This window comes from Homo sapiens, chromosome 20, assembly GCF_000001405.40.
Source record: "Homo sapiens chromosome 20, GRCh38.p14 Primary Assembly".
NCBI lineage: Eukaryota > Metazoa > Chordata > Mammalia > Primates > Hominidae > Homo > Homo sapiens.
In genome coordinates, this window is record NC_000020.11 from 50,213,817 (window position 1) to 50,226,917 (window position 13,101).

Sequence of the window (13,101 nt, forward strand, 5' to 3'; positions counted from 1 at the left end):
AAGGCTCTGAGATGGGACCATGCTGTCTATGTTCAAGGGACCGCAAGGAGGCCAGTAGGGGAGGTGCCATTGTGAGTGATGGGGAGAGAAGTAGGATGGGAGCTGGGAGGTGGTGTGTGTGTGTGGCAGGGGTGGGTGGGGTTCTGAGCAGGGCGGGGATATGCCTGACTTCTTCCTCCTAGGGTTACAGGGTGGGTGATGTCGGCCAAGGGGAGGAGAGAACAAAATGAAGCAGTTGGTGGAAAGTATGCAGCCTGTGGTCTGGTACACAGTAAGCACTCAATAAGTAGCAGAGTATGTGTGGGTTTTGGATGAGTGACCGCTAAGCTTTTTTTTTGACACAGGGCCTTGCTATGTCACTTAGGCTGGAGTGCAGAGGCACAATCATAGCACATTGAAGCCTCTACCTCCTGGGCTCAAGTGATCGATCCTCCTGCCTTGACCTTCCGAAGTGCTGGGATTACAGATATGAGCCACCACACCTGGCTGGAGTGACCTGCTAAGTTTTAATGGGATTCCTGGTGGGTTGGGTGATACCTGAGGGGACCTGCCTACTTGGGACTCGCCCCATGGAGGGCTCAGTGACCTCAGATGAGCTGGAGGTGGGGAGGTGGTGGGCAGGCGAATGGGAGGAGGAACTGGTTGGGGGCAGGCACACAGTGTCCCGACTGGGAGGGCAGGCCTTTCCGGGCTCCCCACCAGCTCCCCTCAATCTCTGTGTGTGGTCCACAGGCAGGACCCCCATTTGGGCTCTGTTTATGTGTGATTACAATCTGTGGTCTGTCTCTCCCATAGGTGCTAAGTTCCCTGGACAGGAACCCATCTGTTGTATGGGTGGCTGTGTCCTCAGCTCTTAGAATGGCACTGGGCACATAGCAGGTGCTCAGTGACTACTGGATGGAGGGTGAAGGGTGGGTGATTTTGTCTACGAGCAGAGAGATGGGTAGACGGATGGATGGTTGGATGGCTGGGTGGTGATGTGAGCAGCACTGAGATGGAGGAGAGATGGATGGGTGGGTAGGTGGGTGGGTGGAAAATTGGGTGGGTGGATAGATAAATGGACCAGTAGCTGACAGGAGCCTGGACCAGGGTGGGGTAGAATTCAGTAGAAAACTTCTGGCCCAAGAGTTAGAAGATGGGGGTTCGAGTCCAGTCTTGCTACTGAGTAATAACAAGGTCTGTGGAAACCTGGACTTGTTCTATTGTTGCTCTTTGCCTCTGCTTCCCCATTATTGGTTTTTCAACTTCATTATTCCTTTTATTGTATTGGATAGATCCCCTTTTATTCAATCCCTGGATGTTTCTGAAGCCTCACTGCAAGAACAGAGTGAAAGGGAGCTGCAGAGGAGATGGGGGGCAGGGCCCAGCCCTGGGCAGCCCCCGGGAGTCCTGCAAGCCAGGGGCACAGCTTGAACACTTAGCCTGACTGTTCACCATTTTGCCACAGCTTCCTCCTCTGAGTCTTTCCTCTCCAGGGTTCCTCCAGTGAAGCCTCTGCTTCCAGTGGTTTGGAGCAGTCCCAGAAATCTGCACTGTTAACAAGCCTGCCTCATCGTTCTGAACTTATTTCTGGTTAAGATTCACCGACACCTTCTAGGACTGCTGGATCCTATAGTTCAGCAGCACCATGTGAGTGCGTGTGTGCATGTGTGTGAGCACGTTTGCATGCATGTAGGGGACATGGGGTGGGTGGATGGTTGCAAGGACACTTTCTGTGTTTAATGTGAGATTTTATGTATTAAAACAAGACTGGAAACAACTGCAGTGTTCATGAGTGGGGCCGGTTAAGTGCCATGAGGCCAGTCCGCTCCACTCCTTGGGGGATCCTGCAGGCATTACAAATAAGGGAAAAGGTTCTGATAAGACACGATCTCCAAGACATCCTTACATGAAACAGCAGGTGCAAACGGTGCCTATTGTTTCACCACTTGTGTTAAAACATACATGCAAGAAGAGAAGTGTGGGTATTCGTGGACAATTCTGGAAGAACACACAAGAATCTGAGACCAGGGTGGTCCCTGGGGAGGGAAACTGGGGGGCTGGGGGTGGGAGGGAGAATGATGGCATTTTCTGAATCCCTGCCGGAGTCCTAGGTTCAAATTCTGCCTGTGATCAGCAGCGTGGCTACCCCTAAGCCGGTGGTGAGCACTCTTTGAGCCTGGTTTCCCCGTGTGTAAATGGGGCTGTGTTTGCAGTGTGGGGCTGGGCTGGCGTGCAGGGCCCAGACACTCTGCTCCTGTTTTGGCTTCTGTTTCCCAGGAGGCTCCTGGTCAGGCCTCACCTTCTAGCAGCCCCACTTGGCCCAGGGAGGGTGGGTCCCCGGGGAGGGGGTGGCCCGGTCCAGGGTGGGGCTGAGCTGGAAAAACCGGCAGGTTGGGAGCAGTCTGTGCAGGCACCATCTTCACTCCCCAGCCTGGAGGCTGTGGGGACACTCACTCCCACCCCACGCCCCTGGGAGGCTGGGACCAGAGAGAGAGAGAGAGAGAAAGAGAAAGAGACAGGTAACGAGGGCGATACAGAGAAAGGGAGAGACAAGAAAGGAAAGAGACAGAGGGAGACATTCAGAAGCAGAGATTCAGGCTGAGAGAGACAAAGATTCAGAGTCAGGAGGAAGGGGGCAGTGGAGCTCGGGTGGGGGTGGGGGCAAGGTTGCCTCTGGCCAGGTGCCTGGGACTGGACGAGGCATGGGGGCACTGGGGGGTGGGGTGGGGATGTCCATGCACCCACTGACCATGGGACAGGGGTGCAGGGAGCTGGAGCCCCCCCATCAGGACATCTCCCACACCTCTGAGCTCCAGCTGCAGGTCTGAGTGCTCCTGGGAATCCTCCGGGGCCTCTCACTTCTTGCCCCTCCAGGCCTCCCTGGGGATGTGAACCTGGCAGCTGCCTCTCCAGGGGGCCCTCCCAGAGCAGAGCTGGGAGGGTCTAAAGTGCAGTCGAGCTAATTAGTGTTAGGCACCGAGATAATCGCAGCTTGGAATGTTCCTTAGGAGGTCCTGGTTGGGGCAGGCAGCCTGGGGGCCATGAGGGTGCCTGGGATTGGCCCAGTAGGTCTGCTGGCTCCTAGAACCCTGAGTATTGGAGTGGGAGATTTAGGAAGCCTGGATCTTTGGGTCTTAGGGCTTGCAGTCTCTCAGTCCTCTCCAGGCCATCCTGTGTAGCAGCCAAAGTGACCCACTGGACTCCATTCTGACCATGTCCACCCCAGCCCCTGCCTGAAGCCTTCAGTGGCTCCCCATGGCCCTTAAACTGAAATCCACCTGCCTCTCCTCAGCCTAGGGGAGGCTGGTGATGAGCTCTTGATCCTGCCTCATCACTCTGACTTATTTCTATTTCTGGAACATTCCATACTTGGCCCACCTCAGAACCTTTGCATATGCTGTGTCCCCCAGCATGCCCCCTCATCCAAGAGCTCTCAGGCCTCAGCTATACATCACCTCACTGGGGAGGCCCCTGATTCCTGGCTTGCCTGGTCTCCCTGGATGCACCACGTAGCTCCCACCCCCTGCTTCCCAGGGCTCAGCGCTCTCTGTTCTCATAGTGGCATTCCTCATTCAATGTCTGCTTCCTCCACCCATGGAGTGGCAGCTCCATGAGGGCAGACTCCGGGTCTGCTTAGTCACCGTGGTGTCCCCTAGGACCTGACATGCAGCAGGTACTCCACCAGTGAGCTACTGACCACCAAGGAAGTGGACTGGACATTTCTTGCAGTGTGGACTCCTTCTACGTTATGAAGGGACCCTACTGAGCCCTGGGCTTCCCCTGTGCCCCTCCCACTGCCCCAGCCCCAGCCCCAGCCCCATAAGCTCCTGCGTCTTGAGACTCCACCAGGTGGCCCTGGCTGTGATGTCGCAAGGAATCACTGGCCAGAATCTGGTTGAGATTATCTCCTGGCTGGGCATGGCCCACGTCTCCACGCAGGGCTGGGACCACAGGCCGCCGCCTCAGGGTCCCTAAGTGTCCCACTGTGCCTCTTGTCTTCAGCTGCAGATAACAGCATTGGTCCAAGGTGGCCTTGCCTCAGCTGCAAGTGCCCGTGCTAGGGACGCGCTAGGTGGCCTCAGGGAAGTCCTTGTCTCTCTCTGGGTCTCCAGGTCACACAGAGTAGGGTCCCACCCCACATGGGAAAGCAAAAAACTGGGTAGAAATGGGGTCTCTGGTTGGGAGACCTTGGAGGAAAAATAACAGTGCTTCTCAAGGGGGGGTGAAGTGAGAAAGTGGTTGGTGACACATGAGGGGATCCCCACGTGTCCCCAGCTGGGGGGCACAGACAGTCCAGGGTGACTGACCTGCCCCAAGTTCCCTGAATGCCTGAGGTTTACCAGTGTCCTGGGGCCCAATGAGGCAGGTGTGGAAGTGTCCTCGTAGCATGGTGGAAAGAGTTGGCAAGTGAGGCCTTGAGCCGTTTCTAGGGCACTGATCCCATGGTGCCTCAGTTTCCTTCTTGTGAAGCAGGTACAATAAGAGTTTCTACTTCACGGGGATACTGTCCTGAGCTCACAGAAGGCAATTGATCACTGCCACTATTATTGCCTCCTAAAGTCTTGTCTCACCCTGTCTCCACCTCTCTGTGCCTCCTGCCCCACCTGGCCTGGGTGATTAACCCGAGTGAGTGCAGCAGCCTCCGACTGCTCTCCTGCTCTTAGTCTCAGCCCTACATCTATTCTCCACATGCTGCCAGACAGAGTCTAAGAAACACGGGCTGGCTGAGCGCAGTGGCTCATGCCTGTAATCCCAACACTTCGGGAGGCTGAGGCAGGCAGATCACCTGAGGCCAGGAGTTCGAGACCAGCCTGGCCAAGATGGTGAAACCCCATCTCTATTAAAACTACAAGAATTAGATGGGTGTGATGGCACACGCCTGTAATCCCAGCTACTTGGGAGGCTGAGGCATGAGAATTGCTTGAACCCAGGAGGCAGAGGTTGCAGTGAGCCGAGATTGTGCCACTGCACTCCAGCCTGGGGGACAGAGCGAGAACTTATCTAAACAAACAAACAAACAAAAAAACATGAGCTGGGTCACGCTCCTCCCCTGCTCCACAGCCTCCAGGGCTCCTACTGCCTTCAGAATAAAGATTGGCCTCCTTATCCAGACCCACAGGTGCTGCACAGTGGCGGCCCCCTCCCCTGATCTCTGGCCACTCTCACTGTCACTTGCCCTGCTAGAGCCACCTTGGTTTTCTTTCCATTGCACCCAGCTCCCACCTGCCACAGGGCCTTGGCACACTTTGCTTTCTCTACTGGAACACTTTCGTTTCTCCTCTTCACCTAGTTAATGCCAGATCTCAGATCAGGTGGACCTCTGGTAGCAGGTGCTGTGGGGATTCCCCAGAGCCTCTTTGGTGGGATCTGCATGCATCTTCCTGCTGCCACACAGTGTTGGCTGCTGTGGGCTCCCAGCTGGGGCCCCTTAAAGCTGGAGTCCTGCCTCGCTGAGCAGGAGCTGCCTCCCATCCCCCAAACAGAGGTGGACACAGCCAGTGACCAATGAGACCAGGACTCAGGCCTCTTACTTTGAGGTGGGAGGAGTGTGGTGGTGCAATTCACGTTCCAGAGCTCCCCGGGGGATCAGGCCAAGTGAGACTCAGCGGAGGCCATATCCTGGCTTAGCTCCCACCTTGCCCTGTCCTGCTTCTCGCACCCTTCTCCCAAAAGCATGTCCTCAGTGAATCACGTGCATGCCAGTCCCCAAGTCAGGCTCCTCTTCTGGGCAACCTGACCTAAGATGCCTTCCCTGCCCTCCCTGTCCCCCTTTCTGGTCTCTTCTCCATGGATCTCTCCTTGCAGCCCTGACTATGGCTGTGTTTTTACACTTGCTTGGATGATTATTTGATTGAAATCTGTCCCCCACCCCAGAATGTAAGGCAGGGATCATGTTCCTTCTGTGTTCCCAGCGCCCATCGTGGGCTTGGCACATAGTAGGTGCTCAATCCATATTTGTTGAATGACTGAATGAATCATAGCTGGGTGAGTCAGAGCTGGGCACTATCAAGGCCCCAGTTTCTTCCTATCTCATGGTTCTGCCGTCTCCACTCAGCCCAGCTCCTCATGGTGCCACGATGGCTGCCAAAGCTCCTGCCATCTCTTCCTCATACAGCCAAGCAGGAAAGGCCCTCACATGTCCTGTTAAGAATGAAGAAACCATTCCCAGAAGCCCCTTGGCAGACTTCCCCATCTCACTGGCCACAGATGCATTCCATGTCCAGCCTCTGCCAATTGCTGCAAGTGGGGAAGGGGACCTAATCAGCATCTGTGCCTCGAATGTCGTGGGTGGAGTCCACCCACACCCACTGAGCGGGGATCTGGCTGCCTACGAGCGCAGACCCCTGAACTTGGGTCATTTTGACTATTCCTAGGGCTGTGGGTCCCCCACCTGTCCTTCCTCCCTGGGGAGCCCTTGGGTGGTGGAGGTGAGAAGGGGGCGGTGCTGGGTGAGGGTTTCAAGCAAATGAGGCGGCCAGACACCTTCACCTCAGTAAACATTTACAGAGCCAGGAATGCAGAGGAGGTGGTGAGCCCAGCAGATGAGTGTGTGGGGAAGACACCACCTAGGCCAGAGGTACAGATAGTGAGACAGGGAGACATGGGGGTGAGATGGAGAGACACAGAGAGACACCCTGAAAGAACTGATGTGAGAGACACAGAGGGAAAGAGAGAGGCTGAGAAATAAAGAGGGGAGAGACCCAGAGACAGAGGCTTTGCCGGGCAAGCTTTTGCATCAGGCCTGGAGCAGGCAGAGGCCCTCTTCCAGTGGGCGTGGTGACCGCACCTCGTTCTCTTTGGCTGAAAGTCCCAGGCAAGCCCCTTTTCCAGACTGGGCCTTGGATCCTCCTGTGTCAAATGGAGCTGTGTCCACACACTGGGCCTAACATGGACCTGTGGCCTCCTGTGACCCAGAAACAGCCTTGTGTGGTGGAAGGGAATTGTCACCCCCAGTGGAAGGGGGAGGCAGTGCCCAGGGGCATGGCGAGAGGGTGGAAGGGGGATCTGGACCACGGAGTGCATGTTTCTAAAGCCTGTGTCCTGTCTGTGCCCCACAGGGCCAGTGTGGGGCCAGGAGGGGTGAGGGTGGGGCATGGGGGTACCCTTAGGGGTGGTGCTGGCCGCCAGCTCTGTGTGCCAGTGACGAGTGTTCTGGTCATAAGAATGGCTGCTGGGTTTGAATGCTCCCCAGGTGCCAGGCACCAACCCCACCAGGGTGGTGCTGCTTAATTTCTATTTAGTTTGGACTTCCCATTTACAAACGAGGAAACTACATCTCAGCGTGGCAGCGACTTCCTAACAACGGGGTGTAGGCTTTGGGGTCGGAAAGGTCTGGGTCCGAGTCCCCGCTCCATCCCTGACAGGCTGGGGGACCTAGGCAGTCATTTCCTCCTCCTAAGCATCAGTTTCCCCATTTGTAAAGTGGGGAAATAAGTTTAAGGGTGACATGGGGATCGGATGAGGTGCTGCCAGAGGGTTCTTAGCACAGGGCCGGGTACACAGGAAGCACTGGATGAACGTTAACCGGGCCATTGGATACAAGCTTTTAAGTAATTTAAAATAATTCCTTTAATGGCTCTCCTTATTTTTTTTATTTTTTTTTTAAGGGAAAGAGCTGAGGTCCAGGGAGGGGAAGGGACTTGCCCAAAGTCATTGGCCAGGTGGAGGGTCTGAGGTTTGAACCCTGTGGGCCCTGAGGCCCTCTATACCACCCACGATGGCTCAGGCCTGGATGGCCTGTTTGCGACTCAATCCTCATGGGTTGAGAAGATGCCCATAGCCTGGCCTGATAGCCCTCTGGCCTGACATCAGCTACAACCACCAGTTGGGGCAGTTGCAAAATCCCTCACCCTTTGCCTGTCGATAAAGGGTGCCCATTGCAAAACTCAGCGGAGAAATTATTAAGGGTTGTGTCATCCTGTGGCCAGGCCCTGGGTGCCTCTTTCCTGCCCGGAAGCCTGGGTAGGGCCGACTGCTCACTCTCTCCCTCCATGGCCCTGACCCGAGAGAGAATGGGGTGGGGGTCAGCAGGGAGCTTGCAGGGAATGCGGACGACAGACCCCAGCACTGGGGCCGTCATAGTCCCTGATTCTTAGGAAATGGCAGCTCCATCCTTCTGGGTGCTCAGGCCCAAACCTCGGGTTGTCCCTTCATTTCCTCTCTTGCCCTGCATTCGATAACTGGCCAGGAAATCCTGTCAGCGCCACCTTTAAAACATCCAGAACCTGCGTAGGTTTTCCCCTCCGCTTCCACAGCTGAATTCAAGGCCACCATTCTCTCTCCTGCAGTAGCCTCCTTGCTGCTTTCACTGCTGTCATCGTCACGCCCCACTTCCCCCGTGCAGCCAAAGGGATGCTGTTAGAACCCCACTCAGATCCCATCTTTCCTCTGTTTAGAACCTTCCTTGGCTCCAGCTGCAGAGCAAAACCTGAGGTCTTTCCCAGGATCACAGGGCCCTGTCTGATCTGGCCCCCATGGCCTTTCTGACCTCATCCTCCCTCCTTTCTTACTTGCTCACTCACTCCAGCCACACCGGGCCCCTTGCTATTCCTCCAACACACTGGGCATGACCTAACTAGGGCCTTTGCACTTGCTGTTCCTGCTGCCTGGAATGCAGTTCCTTCAGCTCTTTCCCCCAGCTGGATGTGCCACTTTATTCAGATCTCATCGCAATGTCACCTCCTCAGGGAAGCCTTCCCCGGCTACCTGCTGAACTGTCACCTCCACCATCACTCCAGCCCTTTCATCTTTCTTCCCTACTTGCCATCATGTTATACATCTGTTATTTGTTTGGTCAATGCCTGTCTATCTCTTTAGTATGTCACCTTCCACACTGCAGGGACTGCTGTCTGTGGTGATCACGATGCTTTCTGAGCACTCAGCACAGGGCCCCGCACACAGTAGGGGCTCCACAGAGATTTGTTCAATCAGTGAATGGGCGCGCAGGAGGGGTGGCTGTTGGCCCAGATGATGCTTCAGCAAACATCACAAGTGTCCTTTCTCTGGCTGATGGCTCGAGGCTGGTGCCCAGAACAGGCTGCTGTGGAGACGGCTTCCCTGACCACCCTGTCAAGTAGCTCCGACTGCCCAACCCACACCCATGCTCTCCAGTCCCCTCGCCCCACACTTCCCACAGTCTCAACTTGTTTTGCTTCTGTATTTTTCATGGGCCCCTCCTCCCCCGAGAATGGAGCTCTCTGAGAACAGGGTGTCCTCTGTTGGCCCCACTGTCATCCCCCTGAGTGTCCAGTGCAGGACCCGGCACCCCATGGGAAGTGTTTCATGGCAGGTTGATCAGGGTTTGCATCGGATGCCCCATCTGCCGGGCTAGTTCTGGCTGGGAGGGTGTTAGGAGGAGATGCTGTGCTCGGACCTGCGAAGTCACGGGGGAGATGGGGACCCACTTGGGCCTTAATTATAACACATCCCATAATGATATGGTGTTATAATACGCACACAAAGTGTCCTAATCTGATATTATATCTGGGTTTTGTACAATAGATACAATCGGCTGGCTGCAGTTTGCTAATTCATTCTCGACCTATCTCCACGCTCCACCTAGATGACTATCGGCTTCCTTAATTAAGTGGAAGGCAAGCTCTGCAGGCGATGCTTGCAGTCCCAGCACCGACGAGTCCGGCCTGGCCCTCCCATAAGCTGGGATAATAGCTACTCCCACATGGGGCGAGGCTGGTTCTGCCTTCTTCATCCCAACCTCCTGTCCCAGTCTTGGGCGTGACAGGCCTGCTCCAAGGCCTGGTAAGCCACAAACGCCAACCACCAAGGGCTCAAACCGGCGGCCTGTGGGCCGGGCCGGCCTCGAGATGTGTTGGGTTTGGCCTGCATGGTGCTTTTGCTGCAAGTTAAAATGAGTTGCCAACTATGAAAAATCAGAATGTCGTACACAAACATCCAGATTCCCGGCTTCTCTTGGGAAATGGGAAGATGCAGGGACTCGGGTTCATAGTCCTGGGTGCTGGGGCTGGGGAGTGGCTGTCCCCTCTAGACAGGACATGACCACAGTTGTCTCCTGCCAGTTTCACTTTTATGTCCCTGCCCGATCTTGTAGGCAGTTGAGTTTGCAATCCCTGCTCTGGGCTTTAACAATCAGTTACCCCTTGGCAAGATGGGACAGTGAGGCTCAGAAGAGGCAAGTGACAATGGTCATTGCACAGCGAGCTGGAACTCAGGTCACAATCATTCAACAGGTCTTTATTGAGCTCCCACTGTGTACTAAGCCCTGGAGACAAAGACCACAACAGATATAGTTCTTGCCTTCTGGGGGGTGACAGTCTGTTGTTCCACAGGCATACCATCCACCCTTATTGCTGGAGGCAATAGGATCTGTTAGAGACAGGTCCTTTATGATCCCTCAGAGTAGGTGGAAGCAGATTCCCCATAGCTTCTGGGCCCCATCCAGGCCAGAGAATGGACTCTGAAAGGTGCAAGGGGAGTGGAAGCAGCCATCTTGGAAGGAAGCTCTTGGCAAGTGTTCTTACTAGAGGGGGATGTCCCTAATCTCCTACCTGGGCTCCCAGAGAGCAGGAAGGATGAGCAAGGTGGGCTCAGAGGGGTCGCAGGTGGGGGTGGTGGGGGACAGGAGGGGAACAGAGAAGGCACAGTGGCATCAGCTAGACAGAGCATGGGGACTTTCCCATCCTGGTTGAACCAAGGGTGAATCAATTAGGTCCTTCTAAGACAAGAAGTGGAGGGCAAGATGCTGAAATACCCAAGCTGCCCACCTACTAGTCCAGGAGAAAGGGCTTTGCTCAGCCAGTCTGGGAGGAAGTGTTTGTCCTCTTGCCTCCCACTCCACTGCACCACCCCTGGCCCGGAGGAGAAAGTGCAGCCTGGAACCTCTGTCCCCAGTGCCTCAATGCTGGACCCAGCTTGGGCCATTGCAGACCAGCTGGCCTTCCAGGAGCCACATCTGAAGAGCATCAAGCAGCCCACATGCTCCGTGGCCAGCTCCCCACTGACGCGGGGGGATGAATAACAGTCCCAGCCATCATGTGCATTTGCTAAAAATAAACTGACATACTTTTTGCATTGGGAAACAATGTGGATTCCAAACATTCTCAAAGGGCAGAGAGGGGAAAAAAGGAAGAATGGAAATCAAGTTTTCGAGCTTAGCAATTAATTAGTGCCTGTAAACAAATGACTCATGATCTTTCCTGACTATTTTTCTTTCCATTTTGCGTGGATTTTCGCAGGGACTCAGGGAAGAATGCCAAATGAGCCAAGCTGATAGGCAAGACAGGACCCAGATGGGACTGTCTTGAGGGGGCGTTGTCCAGTTGGAGAGTGTGAGGAAGAGCATCAGGTGGAAGAACAACATGTGCGATGGCTATGAGGACTAAAAGATCTTGGCATGTCCAAGGAACACTGAGGAGGCCCATGTGGCTGGAGTAGAATGGGTGAAGGGGTGAGGTCAGATAGATCCACGGGACTTGGAACATACAGACCCTTAGTGGTGTATTAAGGCATTTATATTTGATCTAGAAGACAGTGGGAGCCATGAGAGGGTTTTAAACCAGGAAAGAACATCATCTGATTTATATAATGGTGTCATGTAAAAAACAGATGATCAGGCCAGACACAGTGGCTCACACTTGTAATCCCAGCATTTTGGGAAGCCGAGGTGGGTGGATCACCTGGGTCATGAGTTCAAGACCAGCCTGGCCAACATAGCGAAACCCTGTCTCTACTAAAAATACAAAAATTAGCTGGGCATGGTGGCAGGCACCTGTAATCCCAGCTACTCAGGAGGCTGAGGCAGGAGAATCACTTGCACCCCGGAGGTGGAGGTTGCAGTGAGTGGAGATCGTGCCATTGCACTCCAGCCTGGGCAACAGAACAAGATTCTGTCTCAAAAAAAAAAAAATCAGAAAAATATATTCTACATGTTCTCTGTTGTTTAGATGCTTCTGATACTTAGATTTCCTCAACAAATGATTATCTAATTGTTATGTTTCTTAGGGGTTTACACATGTAATGTTTGTTTCCTCTCCTTAGAACATCAGCCCTATGATAACAGGGACCTTGTCGGTCTTGTTTACTTCTGTGTCCTCAGTGCCTAGACCACTGCTTTGCACACAGTAGGAGCTCAGCAAGGGCTTTTCAAGAGAATGAACACTCTGTGCAATGTCAGAGGCCTCATTCCACCTTACAGGGCAGGGAGGTCTTCCAAGGCCAGTCTGGATGGTCCCCAGGAGAGGCAGGTTTTATTTAGTTCAAAATAAGAAGAAGTTTTATGGCTGGAACATCGATTCTGCAAGGAATTGAACCCCCTGGTAATGGGGTCATTCCAGCTGGGCCCATGCTATCAGTCCCACAATGGCCCTCTCTGATTTAAGACAGTCTCTGTGCTGCTCATAGAGTCCACTCAAAGATCTATGAGGTTGGCATGTGGCTATGCCCATTGTGCAGACAGAGAAACTGAGGCCAGGGAGTGGTGACATGCTCAAGGTCACATGGTTACAAGTGGAAGAGCCTGGCTTGGAATCCAGGTCTGACTATAAAGTCTGTGTTTTTAACTCCTTCTCTGAGCCATTGACATGGGTTCCAATGCCTGCTCCACCACTTAGATGCCGTGTGACCTGGGGCAAGTCACTTTGCTTTCTGAGCCTCAGTGTTTTGCTCCATTTAATGGGAATGCGGCCCCTTGCCTCTCAGGGCTGCTGGGGGTGGCAGGGAGGTCTGAGCCGGCACACAGATGTTCGAATCACGTGCATCCCTCTTCCCTGCCAAGCTCCTTCCTGGGTCCTTCTGCCACTGGCCCCCGTCCTGGGCTGCCGACCCCGCCTTAGGCCAGAAGCTCCTTGGAGTCCACCCTCCAGTTCTCCCCCCGCCCACTGGGTGTTGAGTCACTCATGCCATGAGCTTCTTGCCCTCTGCCTGTGTTTTCTTCCTCCTTTTCTTGGTAAAACCACTGCCTTTTCTGATTGCTAAAGCTCCTCCTAGGGAGCAGGTGGGTGGCAGGGGAGACCCCACCATCCCACAGAACCGTCTCCACCGCTTCCCCATCCCTCCCACTCTCACCACGCCAGGCTGAGGTCACTGAGCACGAGGCCTGGATGGCAGACATGGTCAAGGTTGGGGGTTTAATTAATCATCAGG

General features: G+C 54.4%; 3 annotated features.

Annotated features, from left to right (window-relative positions):
* Window positions 10,381-10,881: an enhancer, noted in NCBI's record as "H3K4me1 hESC enhancer chr20:48840734-48841234 (GRCh37/hg19 assembly coordinates)". NCBI's record gives its function as "activates a minimal SCP1, AML or CMV promoter by ChIP-STARR-seq in primed H9 embryonic stem cells {active_cell/tissue: H9 hESC(primed)}" and the evidence as "EXISTENCE:reporter gene assay evidence [ECO:0000049][PMID:30033119]".
* Window positions 10,882-11,382: an enhancer, noted in NCBI's record as "H3K4me1 hESC enhancer chr20:48841235-48841735 (GRCh37/hg19 assembly coordinates)". NCBI's record gives its function as "activates a minimal SCP1, AML or CMV promoter by ChIP-STARR-seq in primed H9 embryonic stem cells {active_cell/tissue: H9 hESC(primed)}" and the evidence as "EXISTENCE:reporter gene assay evidence [ECO:0000049][PMID:30033119]".
* Window positions 12,736-13,030: an enhancer, noted in NCBI's record as "tiled region #4966; K562 Activating DNase matched - State 8:EnhW". NCBI's record gives its function as "activates a minimal TATA promoter and a strong SV40 promoter by Sharpr-MPRA in K562 cells {active_cell/tissue: K562}" and the evidence as "EXISTENCE:reporter gene assay evidence [ECO:0000049][PMID:27701403]".